Source organism: Homo sapiens, chromosome 7, assembly GCF_000001405.40.
Source record: "Homo sapiens chromosome 7, GRCh38.p14 Primary Assembly".
Lineage (NCBI taxonomy): Eukaryota > Metazoa > Chordata > Mammalia > Primates > Hominidae > Homo > Homo sapiens.
In genome coordinates this window covers 28,674,135-28,692,081 of record NC_000007.14, presented here as the reverse complement: position 1 = coordinate 28,692,081, position 17,947 = coordinate 28,674,135, and the positions used below count along the sequence as shown (strand labels likewise).

General features: G+C 43.9%; 1 protein-coding gene across 13 annotated transcripts in view, besides 4 other annotated features; it reads right to left on the bottom strand.

The window, feature by feature from the left end:
• Nucleotides 1-17,947, bottom strand: part of CREB5 (cAMP responsive element binding protein 5) — a 526,574-nt gene that overhangs the window by 133,813 nt on the left and 374,814 nt on the right. For 2 of the 13 annotated variants that reach the window (NM_001011666.3, XM_047421070.1), the window contains exon 1: nt 5,885-5,949. The exons of the other annotated variants lie outside the window; for them this stretch is intronic. In NM_001011666.3, the coding sequence (NP_001011666.1) occupies nt 5,885-5,931 (47 nt within the window). In that variant the 5' untranslated portion in view covers nt 5,932-5,949. Of the gene's footprint in view, nt 1-5,884; nt 5,950-17,947 lie in introns of those variants that run through there. 13 annotated transcript variants of the gene reach the window in all.
• Nucleotides 6,155-6,663: an enhancer, noted in NCBI's record as "H3K27ac-H3K4me1 hESC enhancer chr7:28725036-28725544 (GRCh37/hg19 assembly coordinates)". NCBI's record gives its function as "activates a minimal SCP1, AML or CMV promoter by ChIP-STARR-seq in primed H9 embryonic stem cells {active_cell/tissue: H9 hESC(primed)}" and the evidence as "EXISTENCE:reporter gene assay evidence [ECO:0000049][PMID:30033119]".
• Nucleotides 6,155-6,771: a biological region, named in NCBI's record as "H3K27ac-H3K4me1 hESC enhancer GRCh37_chr7:28725036-28725544".
• Nucleotides 6,602-6,771: a silencer, noted in NCBI's record as "fragment chr7:28724928-28725097 (GRCh37/hg19 assembly coordinates)". NCBI's record gives its function as "represses an EF-1alpha promoter that drives an FKBP-Casp9 reporter gene in an ReSE screen in HepG2 liver carcinoma cells {active_cell/tissue: HepG2}" and the evidence as "EXISTENCE:reporter gene assay evidence [ECO:0000049][PMID:32094911]".
• Nucleotides 6,880-6,929: an enhancer, noted in NCBI's record as "active region_25798". NCBI's record gives its function as "activates an Ori minimal core promoter by ATAC-STARR-seq in GM12878 lymphoblastoid cells {active_cell/tissue: GM12878}" and the evidence as "EXISTENCE:reporter gene assay evidence [ECO:0000049][PMID:35858748]".

Below are 17,947 nucleotides of genomic sequence, written 5' to 3'. Positions count from 1 at the left end.
CCTAAGTAGCTGGGACTACGTGCGCATGCCACCACGCCCAGCTAATTTGTTGTTTTTTTTTTTTTTTTGTATTTTAGTAGAGAGGGGGTTTCACCGTGTTGCCTAGGCTAGTTTCAAACTCCTGAGCTCTGGCAATCCACTCGCCTCGGCCTCCCAAAGTGCTGGGATTACAGGTGTGAGCCACCACGCCCAGCCACAGCTGCTTCTTTTTTAAGTAGAGTTCCAGATTGGCCCAGCCTATTTTCTGTCAGGCACATGACAGGGCTCATTCTCAGTCTACACTAATTTCTGCTTCTTAATGTTGACCTGGCCTTCCTGACCAATGCTTACTAAGTAAAATCTGAGACAATACTTCTTTCAAGCAGCTTGAGACACCATATGCCCTTTTGCAGCTTAGATTCGGGGATCCCAGCATGGAACTCTCAAGGTGCCTCTTGGACCCCAGAGATGTTGTCTAATTCCACTACCCGCCATCCTAACCCTTCCACTTGCCTCCTTGGAAGTCCCTTTCTCTCCAGTCTACAAAACATCCTTTTTTAACCACTAGAAAATATATGTGAGAGGGAGGCAGCAAGTTTAAATGGTAACTTCACCCAACTAAAGATAAGAATAACACACATATGCTATTGCAAATACAAACTTTTTTTTTTTTTTTTTTTTTGGAGACAGAGTCTTGCTCTGTCACCCAGGCTGGAGTGCAATGGCACAATCTCTACTCAATGCAACCTCTGCCTCCTGGGTTCAAGCAATTCTCTAGCCTCAGCTTCCCGAGTAGCTGAGATTACAGGCACCCGCCACCACACCCGGCTAAGTTTTGTAGTTTTAGTAGAGACAGGGTTTCACCATGTTGGCCAGGCTGCTCTTGAACTCCTGACCTCAGGTGATCCATCTGCCTTGGCCTCCCAAAGTGCTGGGATTACAGGCACAAGTCACCACGCCTGGCCTACAAACTTCTTTTATTCAAGCTAGGAATAGAATTCAGTTCTCATAACTGAATTCACTCACCTCCATCTCACTTTATTTTCTTGTTCACAGTGCCACAGGGCAGTAAGCATCCTTTCTTCCAAACTGTGATGTCCTGTGTCCTTCCCTCCACCCAGATCATGGGAAATTTGGCATTTTAATCGCTAGTATCCTCACCTCACTTTAGTCAGAATGGTCTTTTTACTTCTCTGTTTCTAGGACCTTGTGTGATCTCAAACCTGCTTGATTTCCTGAATTTAAAAAAAAGGCATAACAGAAGAAAGGCTAGAGAAAGAAGAAGGCTAAGTGATGCTGGGACAAGAAGCCCAGTTAGAGTCAGGGAGGCCGTACCTGCAGCAGGGACTGCTGCGAGGAGAATCCTATCCAACAGAATCCTCAACAACAGAAACCACCAAGATTTCCTCCCCACCATCCCACTATGTGCCAGGGGCCTTAAAACCTTATCTCCACCCCTCGCAATGGCTCCTCGAGGTCAGTCTGGTTATCCACAATTCACAGAGAAGGTAGGAACTGTGGCACAGTGAGGTGAAGTGGCTTGTCAAAGTCACACAGCCAGTAAGTAGAAGAGTGATTGAATCCAGGACTTTATAACCCCAAAGGCCATGCTCTTTTCAGGAGACCCCACCCTGCTTCTCTGACTGGCAATGCCTGCTTGATATTATCCCCATCCTTCCTGCTGTAAAAGGGCTCACCAAGGGAAACATGTGAGGGCGAGGAGGAAGAATGTGAGTTCAGCATCGACTATGGTGATGCTTAGGCATGGACAGCTGGCACTGTTCTGCTCTGTGTCTGGTGGGCAGAGGGAAGAGATTGATGCCTCTTCTGTTGCTTAGCAAAGCCATCTCTCCTCCTCCACCTGCTCACCTGTGGAGCACAGCCCCAGGGACCCCTGTGGAAGGCAAAGCCCATGGACAGGCCATGTCCAAGGGAAGGTAAAACACAGTCACTGTCACCAAGACTCCCCAACTGGGTATTTGATGACTTCCACTGACAGGCAAGGGCATTAGACCCCTTCCCTTACCAAGTCAGGATGGTGATGGAAAGTTTGTTGGTGATGGTGAGCTAGACCTAGAGTGAACTGGACTCCAATTGCCAGAACTTATATGTACTTGGGTAAGCCTGACTCTCAGTTTTTACATTGACAAAAACAACACACACACACACACACACACACACACACACACACACCAAATACAAGTAAAATGGGAGAATTCACAGCCCATAAACTTTTCTAAGAGATCCTGCACATCCTTCAGATTCATGAAATGGTGTCAAAAATGCAGCAGACACAGGCTTTTGTGCTTCAGTTGCTCGCAAGGAGCAGAACAGTATTTTTAATAAATTTATTCCCCCAAAGATTGCATGACTACTTGATAAGTTTCTATAATTTTAACATAAACTTGAGTTTTTAAAGGAGATTTAAGGCTGCATTTGAAAACCTTCAGAAATCATGAAAGGCAAAACTGTATGTGCTTGTTCATACAGGAACGCAGAACAGGATCAATGGATTGTAACAGTGTCCATATTTTGATTGTAGTAATGTACTACAACAGTTTTGCAAGATGTTACCATTGAGGGTAACTGGGCAAAGAATACATGGGAATCTCTCCATATTATTATTATTATTATTAAGACAGAGTCTCGCTTTGTCGCCCAGGCTGGAGTACAGTGGCTCGATCTCGGCTTACTGCAAGCTCCGCCTCCCAGGTTCACACCATTCTCCTGCCTCAGCCTCCTGAGTAGCTGGGGCTACAGGTGTCCGCCATCACTCCTGGCTAATTTTTTGTATTTTTAGTAGAGACGGGGTTTCACCATTTTAGCCAGGATGGTCTCGATCTCCTGACCCACCCACCTCGGCCTCCCAAAGTGCTGGGATTACAGGCGTGAGCCACTGCGCTCGGCCCTCTCCATATTATTTCTTATGAATGCATGTAAATGTATACTTATCTGAATAAAAATTTTTAATTAAAAACCAAAAATCAAAACAAAAACCATGAAACAGAACAAAATAGTCGTCAAACAGTGGAATTAATAATTTTTAGCCCTCTGGGTTACCGTGGGTAAGTGTAATGAGCTGAGATCATGTAAGTGCAACCTGGTATCACAGCCGGCATGGAGAGGCCACAGCCAGGCTAGTGCTCCTGGCCTTGTCTCTGTCAGTCACAAGCAGAGCATTACTGAATATGAGTGAACAATTCGGAGCCAAGTCGACATAAATTGTAATGCTCTAAAAAAAGAAATCATGCCCTCTTTATTCCTGAAGAGTCCCAAGCATACACTTGGCACTCATCAAACTATGCACAATGACTAATAATCTTCACCACTGGTTTCATTTTAGCTCTGGGTAATTTCTTCCCACAGATAGGCATAGTTAAGGTCCTTCCCTGTGCGCAATTGAGCTGGGCCATAAGTACATAACTACATACTTTACAATAAGGCTACTACCCCGGATACATAAATATATACTTTATAATAAGGCTACTACCCTGGAATTTGCCTGAAGAATAGGAGTATTGTCTGGAAAATTATCTAACAAGCACATACGGTTTTGCTTTTCATGATCTTTGAAGGTTTTCAAATGTAGCCTTAAATCTCCTTTAAAAACTTGAGTTTATGTTAAAAATACAGAAACTTATCAAGTAGTCATGCAATCTTTGGGGGAATAAATTCATTGAAAATACTGTTCTGCTCCATGTGAGCAACTGAAGCACAAGGGTCTGTGTCTGCTGCATTTTTGGCACCATTTCATGAATCTGAAGGATGTGCGGGATCTTTTAGAAAAGTTTCTGGGCAGGTGAATTCTCCCCCTTGTCTACTCTGCCACTCTTTTTGGCAGTCTCACCTAGGTAATTTATCTCATTGAGGTCTCCTCAAAGGTAGCATTTGAAAACTAAAAAGTTTACCATGTTTGTTTTTTTGCCAAAAAGCAAGAAGTAAACAAATAAAGATCAAACTTCAAAGTGGGGAAAGATATACTCCTGTCCATCCTCCCCCATTCATTTCAAGTACTAATTCATCCTGAATTTCAAATGTACTTTTCTCTGAAAAGCTATGCTAAATACTCTGTAGCAAACTTTTGTATAGAACATGGATATAAACATAGAACTTTCGAGTGGAAAGAGACTCCAGAGATCATCTAAGATTGGTTCCCCATGCGGGGAGGAGCTTCTAGCCCACCTTGCCCTTTCCTGCTCTTTAGAGTAGTGCCCAGATGGTTTAAGTGATTTGCTCAAGGTCAAGCATCAGAATCAACACTCAGGCCTCCTCACACATCATGCTACTTCCTCCAAAAATTACTTCTCCCCTCTGCTCCCCACTTCCACCTCTGCCCAAAAAAGGAGGAAAGAGAGAAGATCCATAAAGTCATAATGAATGATATCCAAAACATGCGTTAAATAAATAGACACCTTTCTGGTATGTGCCGCATGCCTCAATATGCATCCAGCTGTAGGATGATCACGTCTAAATAAGCCCAAGAGAAGTTTTGAAGTTCCCAGAATGAGAAAGTGTTTGCCCTCTTGTTTTAGTGGGTTTCAGTTTATTACTATCTAGTAATGCCGGATGGTGTCAGAAAGCACCCAACTCAGGCAGCATATCACAATACGAAATCTATTCTATGAAACAGAAATGTGGTAATAATTTTCAAAACATCAAAGTCTCTCTCTCTGAGTACACGAGATCCTTAAAACATTAAGAACACAATCCTTTGCCCCCTCTCCCTGTATTTCCTGTTAATTTCTTACTCTGAAATATTAACTGTTTCTAAGACAACTCAATCAAGAAGTCTTCATCATCGCCCCCTCACTACTGAAGCATATCATCTAAAAAATTAATTCAAGAACATAAAAGTCTTAAAGATAGCACCGGATTAATTAGCACGTGGAACAACAGAATGTCAACATGCTCAAGCAAATGCACAATTGCTGTTAACCTTCACTGAAATAATAGGGGAAAGGCTATAACTACTTTTGAGGATCATCATCTATTACTTTTAAAAGCTGCAGTATATTCTTAATAATAAATGGAACAGCACAATCATTCACTTTTCATACAACACACAGTTTTCCAGTCATTTACAATTCACCAGTTACACTCAAAAATCGCCCCCCCAACCCCCCAACCAACCACCACACCATCACTTCCACCTTTTATGAAAAGACAACAGTTTTAAGCCATTTAAAAAACAGAGAGAGAGAATCCTGGCAGAAAATAATACACAGCTGTGATAATATCGTGTTATTTTAAAATACCATAATATAGTTTTACTTTTAATAATAAAAGATAAAAAAGGAGCGTCTGTGAATAATTAGAGATTGCAGTCTGAAGCCGGTTACAGTCACTGCAATTGATAATAAACTGAAAACCCCTTGAGAGCAGGTAAATGCTTTGCAACCCTGACCCCCTCGCTCTCACATTACTTAACTACCCTTCGGTTCTTGCATTACATCACCATTCAAGCGATTGGTTCCTGCATTTTAACTCTCTCCCTGTCTCCTCCGATTAGGAGCGACACCGCAGCAAAGAAACTTCGCCCGAGTTTGCTCTTTCTCGCTTCGCTCTTTATTTGTGGCCCTTTTGCTCTGGTTGCTTTGGTTTGCTCTGCTTTTTTTTTTTTTTCTTTTTTCCTCCAACCCGGCCTCTGTTCAACTCATTCAGGTCTCTGTGCTAGAACAAAAACTCTGATCGAAGTGAAAAGAAATGCCTCTTCGGGCAAGAAGAGGAGCGGAGGGGCTGGGGAAAGAGGAGAAGGAAGAAGAGGAGAAACAAAGACGGGCAGAAAGGGAGAAGGGGGAGAAAATGAAGAGGAGGAGGAGGAGGACGAAGGCTCAAAAACAGAAGGCAGTAGGGGCAAAAAAAATCTATAAAATCAGGAGAAAAGAAAATAAAATTAAAAACAAACCTCATGGACATCACTGAGGCTGAATTCCCTCCTGAGGTGCAGAACATGAGAGCTCTGGAATGAGTGTGTGTAGAATTTGAGCCAAAGCTTAACTAGCTTGAGTGAGTCATATCCTTCCCATTTGATTCCAGGCCAAGCGATGATGTAATGTGCTGGCCCTTCTTTTGCGCCTAGCTCTGGCTCTCCCTCCGGCTGGGCTCTCGCTCACTTGCTCTCTTTCTCCTGGTCTCGCCCTCCTCCCCCTTCTCCTTTTTAGCTCAGTGCTAGTGAAGTCACCACTTAAATCTGGCAGAACTGAAGCAAAAACTTCAATGTAACCAAAACAGCCCCAGGCTGAGTTCCAGGCTCGGAGAGCCTTCGTGGTGCACTTGCCCTTAGAAACGGGTAAACAAAGGGGGAAACAGTGCCGCTGGGGATGGCCCTACAGCTGCCATCAGAGAGCTCCAAGAGGGACCCGGAGTTCTGCAGGCAGGGGTCAGCTGGTTCTGCTGGAAACAAAAAAAAAATACTGGTTAAAAAAAAAAAAAAAAAAGAGTGCCCTGTGTTTGGAGAAAGGGAAATAACATCAAGACACGTGTAGAGATGGGGAAGCAGGGAGTGAAAGATGGCAGGTTGGAAGGTCTGAGTGTGAAAAACTAACCTCAGTTAGCAGCTTGGGCTTTGGTTCAGAACCAGGTGACAGGGTTTCCATCGCCCAGGGCCCTTTTTTCCTGGAGCTGGATGGGATTTTCTGTTGCTGAATGCCAACCACCAGCCCTCCGGAGACTTCTCGCATCTGACCTCCCTGTCAGCGAGGGCAAAACCACTTCTGGTCCAAACACGTGCCCGTGTCTGGAGCCACCAAGGGCTGTGAAATCACAGTCACTTCTCCCTTGGCCCCTATGGGTCACCCTGTCAGGTGCTAAAGGAAAAAGACCCCAGCCACAAAACACAAAACTTGCCTTTCTGAGATTAGCACTCCACCCTCAGGTGAACCTTCCAAAGGAGAGGGAAGGAAGACAAGTTCTCCCTTAAAATGAAAGACAGGCTGTGCCCCCACAACTCAACTCGCTGGAGGGGGTGCTGGTGTGGGTGGGGCCGTCTGTGACTTTAAAGAGGAGAACAGACAGTATGTGTGTCTCTTTTTTAATTACAGAGTGAGGAAAAACAGCCTGGGGAGGTGGGGGCAGTCAAGCATGATCCTTCACAAATGACAGTGAAGCCTTTTTAATGGCTGAATTCTACCCCTCACTTCACACCTCCCCACTCAGGGCTCCACCACGACAATGACAACAGTCCAGACACTACTCTATTAGCAGGGCTTTTTAACCCCATCATCTCTCCGTTTTGCTATTTCTCCCCACACTTCATGTTTCCTTCAAAAAGAAAAAAGTAACATGAAAATGGGAAGTTCGCTAGAATTTTTTTTAAATACCACAAAAGCAGAAGAAAGGCATGAAGCTGCAATTTTTTTTTCCTTTTCCAAAAATGACCATGGCTTGTGCTACAGTCTATTGCCCCTAATGCCTTTTGTGGCCAATGAATCAGGTAGATAAGACAAACATTGTCTCTGCACGTTGCAAAGCACAGAGGATCTTGACTTCTAAACTGTGTTTTTGGAGAAATCTCTCAGCTTATTAAAGACGTCCACTGATGGAGGTCAGGGATATTCATCTGAATCCCCTGGAATTTAAATCACAGCTTCAGGGAGTGTTGCCGTACTCAGGGTGAAGAGTTAAAAAGCAATATTTGCCCAAGGGTCTCCAGGACCCTGGGGGTTGGGGTGGGGAAGTGCTTTCTCCAGCAAGCTGCCCTTTGGCTTGACATCCTCAATTGATGCTGATGCCACAGTAGCTCCGAGTGACACCTTTATCAAGGCAGGCAGCTCTGAATTAGAGGTGATCAGCCATAATTACAGCTGGCGCCACTGAAGCCTGTGGCCTGACAGCGGCAAATGTGGTTGTTATAAAGTTTGGTCCACCATGTCAGTGGCCTGTATAACTCATTTACGTCTGACTTGCCAAGCAGACATTGATTTTTCTTCTGCTAAGGGGAATAAATAAAACAAAATTTTCAATAACTTCTACAAGCCTTTACACTTCAAGGCAGGTTGGCAAGATTTTGCATAAGCTACTTTTTCCTTTTTAAATGAGCCATTGACCATCTTGGTTAATATCAAGCTATGGACTTTCACTTTCCCTTCCCTACCCCCCAAATCTCCCCTCCCCACTTTAGTTTTCTTATTTAAATGTTTTATTTATGTTACTATTTTTGGTGCAAAATGGATATGTGGTAGAGTTTTCCAAATTTACATCTTTTTGTAAGCTCAATGGGAAAATGTTCTCTGTAGGATTTTCCTTATACCACATTAGAGGGCCGGGGTGAATCCACTAGATACCAGGCTTCTGCTGTTTTTCAGTGACATAGGCAAAAGGGACCCTGTGCTTTAAATAGAGGTGATGTAAAGATGGCTTTCCTGTGCCTTGCTTGGGAAGTAACAAAGGAGATGATAGCTTCAGCCAATGCCGGGCACGGATCTCAGATGAGACCCGCCAGCATCATTGCTTCTGCCAGGAGGAGTAAGAGAACAAGAGGTTTGAAGGTGGCCAGTGTGCCTCTGATCAGGGAGTGACATCGCCAATGGGTACAGTGTTTCTAAAACCCAGACAAATGCCAAGGACCCAGAAATGTCTGGGTCTGATGATGACGCCGTTAAGCCACCAACGTGCCAGAACACTTCGACATCCCAATAAAACAACTTTGGAGTGCTGGCCTGAATTGAAATCAATTTCAGAGTTCAAAGGTCTGCATATTTACATTTGCACTTGTTGTTCGGGACATAACTATTCCCTCCTGCCCCTTCCAAATCAGGCATTCCACTGGCTGCTGGGTGCCTCCCCACTTGAAAAGAAGCCCTACTTTCCCATTTTCCTTCCTGTGAGCAGCTAAAGAGAGACAAGATCCTGTTCCCAAAAAGAAATGCCCCTCTGACTCAAGAGATTCCTTTTTCACCCATTTGGCCTTCTCCCCTACCCCATGTCCTAGCTGCTCCTCTGAAGAAGGGGGGCTTCGTAGATAGAAGTCATAAGATGCTGTAATTCCAGAGGGAGGCTTCTTAGAAGTAGCCCCCGGCCAACAGGCTAGGTCTCCAGATTAGCTGGCTTGCTCAGGAATGCTTACAACACCCTCCTTTGCAGAGCGTGTCATCCTTGGGGAGAGGGTGGTGGGTACCGCGCAGCTGTTCGGTGTAACTCACTCACACACTCCCAGCCCCTGATGAAATGTTCGGCTCCGAAGAAGTGGAAACCTTTGAGATTTGAGCTCAGAGTTCAGAATGCTTTTGGACTCTTTCCAAATAACCCAATAGAAAAGGCACAACTTGGATTGCAGGGATGGAGGGGCTCAACAGCCAACTAGAGTAGACCTTTTGTGTGCCTGGGTGAATTTCTGAGCTCAAACACGTTATGAGAAACATAGCAAATATGAGAAACAATGGAGATCCTTCCTAGAGAGAGCTGGGGTTTCCCCCCCCCCCCACTTTTAGGTTTGAATTTATTCTCCTCAAGGAAAAGTATATCATCTTCTTTCAAATGTTGTTTTTAAAATTTAACCCAAGATTTCTACAGTCCCGGTGGAGTTTGAGGGGCCAGATAATTTCAGAGTTAAATAAGCTGTAATGACTATCACATGTACCCAGCCATAAACCTAGTATTAAAAATTATTCAGAAAAAAGTGGCATCTCTTCCTTTTTTAATTTACAATAACCATCCAGGTGGTTTTCTAAGTCCTCCTTTGCAAATTGCTTCCAGTGAACCCTCTGGTCACAGACCACTGCACACCCACATGGTGTCATTCAGCATTCCCTTCGACCTGGGTGTCCCGTGTTTTCACAGTGGACAGAGGATGAGGGGCCGCCTAGGTGACCTGGTGCAGCATGCATCCTGAACCATGTGCAGGCAGGATTCACTGGCTTAAATTGTCAGCCCTGCTGAAGTCAGCTCCAGGTGCTCCCAGAGAGAAGACAAGGGAGTGATCTGCCCTTGGTGACTCCTGTCGTGTAACTACTGCACCTCCTATACCCCAACCCTGGCACTAAGTACCCTTAGGCAATTCACTGGCCTTTCCTGTGTCAAAACCTATTTGTAATTCACGGATGTGGCAATGCTGAATGTGTCTCAAACAAAGGAATGAATTTATAATGGTGGAGGCATCAGGAAACCTTTGGGGGTGGATATTAAGAGGTCACAAGAGCCATTTGATTAGCCCTAAAATATTGTCATCAATTCTGCTTCCTATAGTGTTTTTTCTCTAACTTCTTAAAATGTGCAAGTCATTGTACCACTTAAACCTAAACCAATGTCTGAAAGACCGTTGACACTCCTGGAATATTTGTTGAATAAATGAATGAGTGAATGAATGAATACAATCCTCAGCTCAGGCATTATCTTTTCCATGGTCTCCTTGCTGGGCTACCAGACTGGGATAAGGGTGGCCATTACTCTGTGCTCCTTTGGCGTCCTGAAGCAGATTGTATCCCAGCAATAAGCCAGCTATGGAGAGGATCTCTTCATGCTTGTCTTCTTCAGCAGCCATTTGCTTCTCCAGGGCAGAGACTGTGCTATACATCTTCATTTCCCTAGCACCTAGCACCTGGCCCATACATAGTAGGTCCCTAAGAAATGTGACTGGGACTGGGCGTGGTGGCATACATCTATAGTCCTGCTACTGGGGCTGAGGTGGAGGATCACTTGAGCCCAGGAGTTCAAGACTACAGTGAGGCATGATCGCACCACTGCACTCCAGGCTGGGAGACAGAGCAAGATTCTGTCTCTAATAATGATAATGATAATAATAGTAATAAATTAATTAAAGAAAAAGAAATGTAACTGAGCCTGAACTAGCGGCAACACAGGCTGCTCGGTCTTCCCTGAATATGTTGCCTCCTGAAAGTTCTTTTTCCTGTTTGTATTATTGCTCACACTTTTTATGCAGCTTCCTAAAGATCTGAAGCATCTAGAAAACCTATAATAAGAAAATCCTAGGAAATCTACTAGTCAGCCTTCTCCATCCCTACACTATACCTTTTCTCCCTGGAGGGCCTCAGATTCCTCTTGCTCCCTTTTTTTGGACCCCCACAGCAGGGATGGCAGAATGAGCACTCTGTGGTGGATGTCAGAGCAGCTGATCCTAGACTATTGTCACCAGCTTCCTACATGAGGCACCCAGGGAAATTGGAACTTGAGGTGAGAGCAGCTAAATATTCTCCTGTTGGGACTTCTTGCACAGTTGTTGAGGTGCCCTAAAAAAGGAGACACTGCCACCAGGACTTTATCATGTCCAAAGAAAGGTGATGTCAGTTCTAACCAATCTCTATGACTAGAGTGGGCACTACAGGAAGAACTCAAATAATGGTGGGGGAACAGGAGGTCCAATTTTTTTTTTTTTTTTTTGAGATAGGTTGATACAGTGTCTTGTTCTGTTGCCTAGGCTGGAGTGCAGTGGCATGATTTCAGTTCACTGTAGCCTTGACCTCCTGGGCTCAAATGATTCCCCCACCTCGGCCTTCTGAGTAGCTGGAACTACAGGTGTGCACCACCATGCTTGGCTAATTTTGTTTACATTTTGTAGAGACAAAGTCTCCCTATGTTGCCTGGGCTGGTCTTGAACTCTTGGACCCAAGTGATCTTCCCAGCTTGGCCTTCCAAAGTGCTGGGATTACAGGTGTGAGCCATAGTGCTCGGCCAAGGAGGTCCAAACTTTTGTGGGTAAAAGTTTATACGGGATTGGAGCCTAATGATGTTGTCAGACTAACTACACTGATTCATGTTCTGGTGTTGAGTGGAGCCAAGACAAGGCATAGTAGCTGATCAAGACTGGCTCAGAGCAGTTATGCTTGGGAGAGGTGGACAACCCAACTGATGATGTCCAAGAAAGAGGCCTTTCCTGGAGGCTCTGTGGGGAACCTTGGTTAAAGGAGATTATCAACCAAATTCCTACTTTCCCCTTTGACCAAGGGTGGTGACTGGACCAGTCCAGGTTGAAGCAAGTGAGGTGCCTAGGGTGCAAAATTTAAGGAGGTACTCACTCTCAGGTGCAGGTCTGCAATTGTCCAACCCTGAGAATAATTGCCCCCTTAAATGTTGAGCCATAGGGGGCTCATTTGTGCCCCTTAGTCCCAGCCTCGTTTGGAGATAATTTTCTACTCTGTGTACTCATGAGCATGGGTAGGGTTAGTAGAAAAATATCAGGTGAAGCTCTGGGCCTGCCTGGCTCTTTGGGGAGATGGAGAATGATGCCTGCAACAGACTAGACTCTTCCTTAGTGTCAGCTTTCATCAGCCTTTCCTTCTTCTCAATTAGCCACTGTGAGCTGAGAGCTGAACTAAAAGTTGTCTGATACCAAAGTTGGGAATGCGACCATTCGCTGTTTTGTACTGATACACTAACACCTTTTATAATCCAGGTGTTCCTCATGACCTGGGTTAATCCATGTGTCCAGAAGCAAGCACTGTTACCGGCCCTGGAATCAGGAGAGGCAATGTGGGAAGACAACCATCTTAGGAACATCATGATTCTGACCAGGAAGATTTTCCAAGGGATGAGGGTTGGAGTAGAGGCAGAGAAGAACAGAGCATTTTTGTGGCATAACATCAAAAAGTAAGAAATGTAGAAGGCCACTTCCCTCGGGTCCTAAGAAGGCCTTACACTGCTCACCTGGTCTTCGTCCCCTCCCTTTTACACCCTGAAATCTCATCAGGGCCCACACTCTGAGCCAAACTTGCAAAGTAAATGCCTGCCTCTTTCCTGGAACCCCTAAGCCACTGGTTTCCAAGGCTGCCCTGGTGGGTCTCCCCATTTCACAGAGAGGAAAACTTGGGGCTGCCAGAAGCTGACCATCATTTGCTGAGAATTTTTATCTGGAAAAGCAGTTCATGGGGACTTTCATAATCAGTGGAAAAATGTTGTCCCTTTGCACATGATAAGTTCAAAACACTGCAGTATCTGCTTTCTGAATATTCTCCCTCTGTCTCCCCTCAGCACTTTGCAATTCCACATAAAGGCCCTCAGAAAAGGATTACTTACGTATCTGCAGGATAACCCTGAAAATATACTCCGCTGGCTGTTTTCATTGTTAAAACATGCTTAAATGAAAAAAAAAAAAAAAAAGAACTACAAAAGTAAAAATGAGTTTGAAGAGGTTTTGAAGGTATTAGAAATAAAAAGGCAAGCTTAAACTAAGGAATTGTATTTGTGGTTTCATTTCTTTCCACAAGGATTCCAGCTGTAGAGCTCTGTGTCTATCTAATAACTGACCTTCTCTTACACTGAGCAGAGAAGTTCACCAGCACTGATTTATTAAGAGGGTTTCTGCAAGGAGAATTCGCCCTCCAACACTTTTGCCCGGAGGGGATGAGAAGAATTTTTTTTAAACCCCAAACATGAAGCTCTTGGGTCTTCCAAATGAAATTATCTATGTTTTTATTAACTGGGCCCCTGAGTTAAAAAGTTGGTTTTGATAAGGGTGAATAAATGAAAGAGAAAACTGCTGACATAATATTTTGGTTTCCAAACCCACTTCCACATTCTACTGTCCCTCTCAGGCCCATACATGACTGTGGTTTCTCTATTTACACCAGAATCCTGGAGAGAAAGGTGCAGTTAATCCTGCTTTATGGTAAAATTCATCTCTAAACTTTAATAAAATGATCATAGTGACTCTTTTAAATGCTTTGGTATAAGTTTTGATTTTTCTAGACATGGAGTACTATATGATTTATAAATAATGCAGGCTTGTATTTTCCTTTTATTTTTATTTTTATTTTTATTTTTTTTGAGCAGAGTCTCACTCTGTCGCCCAGGCTGGAGTGTAGTGGTGCCGTCTTGGCTCACTGCAACCTCCACCTCCGGGGTTCAAGCAATTCTCCCACCTCAGCCTCCCAAGTGCCTGGGGCTACAGGCGCACACCACCACACCCAGCTAATTTTTGCATTCTTAGTAGGGACGGGGTTTCACCATGTGGGCCAGGCTGGTCTTGAACTCCTGACCTCAAGTAATCCACCCGCCTTGGCCTCCCAAAGTTCTGGGATTACAGGCGTGAGCCACTGCACCCAGCCTCTTTTCCATTCTTACAAGAGGAAAAGTAGATATTATGATGTCCAAGGTGTTCTATAGATTTAGGAGTAAAAAGATTCTAAATTTCTTATTTCTTACAAAGTTGAAAATTCTTCCTTTATTAATAGAAATGGGAAGGAAAGTGAGATTCATGCACTGTCTGGGCCAATCCCAGTGCCCTTTCTTTCTCTCTCTCTTTCTCTCTTTCTTTCATTTTTAGAGATGGGGTCTCACTGCATTGCCCAGGCTGGAGTGAAGTGGCTGTTCACAGGCACAATCATAGCTCTCTGTAGCCTCAAACTCCTGAGCTCAAGTTATATTCCCACGTCAGCCTCCCACGTAGCTGGAACTACAGTACAGGTATGTGCCACCACACTCGGCCAATTCCTTTCTTTTAGCACCCACCCAAACTGGAAAGCATGCATTTAAGCTGGTGTTAGAATATACTTTTCTTGGGCAATAATCCTCCTTGAAAAATCTAATGAACACTCTGACTCCTCCTTTTAACCATGGACCCCAGGTTAAAAACCCCCAAGAGAAAAAGTATGCTCACTTTGTATTAAACTTCAAGCTATGCTCTTTTACAGGTAAAGAAAAGCAGGCACGAAGACATGAATCTCAATCCCTTGAAGGCTGACCCTTGGCCTGGCACTCCAACCAGCAAACATCAGTCAGTGGTTCTCAGATGTGGTGTGCCTGAGAATGTCTGGGGAATAGATTAAAACGTAGGTCTCCAGGTATTACCTTGGAGATTATATAGGTCAAGGTGGGGCCTTATTTCTGTGGTGCTATGACAGAATATGTATTTTTAAGCAAAACTCCCCAGAGATTTTGATGCTAGTGATCCATAGTCCACACTTCTACGTGGTCATCCTATGGTCATGGAAATTTTATAAATAAATTAATTAAGTTGATAACGTAAATGAAAAAAATATATAAATACATTCATATGTCTCTGCTGTCCATGCTCTAAAGGAGCTGTGATTTCCTTTCCCCTCTTCTATTTTAAGATAAAAAGTATTTAGTAATCTGTCCTAAAGTGATCAAGCCTTTAGACATTGGCTATAGTGACTTTTCCAAAACAGGATGCCCACAATGGATGGAAAGAAAACATCTGTGTTCACAGTAACATAACACCCATCTGAACAGTCTATGGCATTATGGTCTCCAGGACCCATGATAAGATTAGGGTTTCCTGACCTGTGGCTAGTTTTGCAAGACATTTCTCTTCTATGTTTACTATCAACATTTCCAGATGTTTATTTTGCAATATTCCTAGTCTCCTAAAGTGACAATCATGAGGAGGGTACGCTGGGATGGGGGAAGGGATACCAGTGGTAACGGAGAAGTCTATTGCAAGGTACCCATCTACCACGACTCTGGCATACCTTGATTATTTTCTTGAACTTTAGTTACACATCAACAGTGGCCTCTGGATACTAATGATTGCACAGAGTTTCCTTCTCTGGGGATCTTCACCCATCACTCTCCCAAAAGGATGTTATCAATGTTTTTCAAAAGTCTTGAATTTGTAGGCTTGTAAAGAGCTACAGCACTTGAGAGGAGAAAGGGCCAGTCTATCCACAGACCCAAAAACACGAGTGACCCAGGAAGGAGAATGAGGATCGCGACCTGTGAGTCATCAAGGGCTGCATCTCCTGCTAAGTGGAAATTAAGTGTCTGAATTACAATGAGACTCCTTACATAATTTCTATTTGACCAACTCTTTGTCATATTAATACTGTCATAGCGCCACAGAAGCAGCCACGGAGACAGACAGCACACACACAAGCCCAGGGAATAGACAAAATGAAAAACCTTGATAGGTGCCGAATGTCTGGGAAAATAGTAACAGTAATAATGCAATAATCTGTGTGTAGATTTGGAGGAAGAGGCAGTGAACCTGAAAAATAATGATAGTTATGATGAAAGCAAAGAGGCCTCCTAACTAGTTCTTTGGTCATGTACTATCTTCTAGCCTAGGGCCACCAAGCCTATTTCATCCTGACCCTTGCTGGAGATTTTTATACCCCCTTACTCAGAGGAGCTTTGTGTTGACAGAAGAGACTCTCCAAGACATGGAGAATGAAGAGATAGTGATTGTTAGGAATGACACAAATATCTGAAGGAATTAGCTTTGGGGCAGTAATCCTCTTTAAAATTCTAGAGACTTTCAGAAATAAATAAGCTATAAATGCCTGTAACTCGCCCTTTCCATTTGGTAAAAATGTCCTTGGTGTTGACTTCTTATAGGCGAACCCAGAGTCTTCCTCATCTCAACTCTGCATTGCCAGAGCAATGCACCTTATCCCAAGCTGAAACAGGATCTCCCATATGAGCACCTTATCCCAAGCTGAAACAGGATCCACACTGCACCACTTTGCAAGGGTAGGTGGTTTTGAGTCTAGAAGGCCCCATAACTCAGTCTGAGGCAGTTCCGTCTTAATTTGTCAAAGTTTCTGTTATTTTAACAAAGGCTATTTGGTGTTACTTGATCCCTCCTGGCCTGGCCAAACCTCAGCACAATTGAGATCCTTTTGTTTCTCTCTCGTCTCCCCTTTCACTACCTCTCTCTGCATTTCCTGATACCCTCTTAATCCTCACTGGTTTCAAGTCATCTCACAAAAGACTTTAGCTGAGGAAGACAAATTTTCCTTATTTCATATACTGATAACGCAGGGAAAACCAAAGTCATAAGTTCTGAAGGTGGGCTCTGAAACACCAGGACAAAAGATGCTGGGGGCTGTGTTTTGTACAAGGATGCTGTTGAGTTCTTGGCTCTATTTCAGAGACACAGAAGGAAACAAAACAAACGAGATGCCAGACCTCAGGGAACCAGCATTCTAATGGGTCGAAAGAGATAATCAACACGTAAACAGCAAATACTCTTACTTTAGATCGTGATAATGGCTACAAAGAAAATAAAACATGGTGATGAGAGGGAGCATTGGATGTGGTGAAGACTCTTAGATCAAATATTTAGGCAACTCCCCTCCAAAGAGATGACATTTTACCTGAGGATTGATTAGTGAGAAGGAGCCACATATGGCTACAGGGAAGAGGTATACAGAGAGAACCACCTAGATAAATGCCCTAAGGCAGGAAGGAAATTGGTGTGTTTCATGCAGGAAAAGAAAGAAGACCTTGGAGGGAAGGAGAAAGAGAGGGAAAAGCGGTAACCTGGGAGAGGTAGGTGGAGTATTGCAAGTCACTACAGAGTTTCTATTTTAATTGGTGAGAAAAAGCCACTGGAAAGTCTAAAGAAGGGACTAGCATAATCTGATTTTTATTTTAAGAAAATTGCATTAATTGCTGTGTGGAGAACAGACTGTCAGAGGGAAAGAATTCGAGATTGGACAACAGGTAAGATATTTTGCAATAGTCTGGATGAGTAGTGATACAGGCTTGTGCCAACTGTGGTGAAGACGACTGTGATCACATGTGGTTTGAAAACGTCCAGAGTTTTGTTTTGGACATACAGGCAGAGGAATCAGGAGAACAGAGGGACAGGAACATCTGAGCTCAGCAGGTTGGTCTGCGCTGAAGACATCCAATGGGAATCAATTCTGATTGACTTTCTTTAAGGCCATAGGCAGTGTAAATCTCAGAAATGAGTCATGCAGGATACTCTCACAGTAAGAGGTGGGCAGAGAAGGATTAGCCAGCGACCTGGGAGGAAAACCAGGAAGTGGACAGGAAAGAGTCCTGGAAGCCAATGTCAGTACAACAGTCACTTCAGATGACTCCAAAGTACACATTTGTTAGACATCAACTATTCAGTAGCTCCTGCAGCTGGGTTCTGCTCAGGAAAGAGATTAAAAGTCAACTCACTCTCAGCTGAGTGGGAGAATAGTCCTCCTTCTACCTAACACCTTCCTGCAAACGCTCCATCCCTTTCCCCTATGGTTGAAAACATCAAGAAAGGGACTCTTGTAATGCAGAAAATTTGAAGATCTTATTTGCAGGCAAGAAA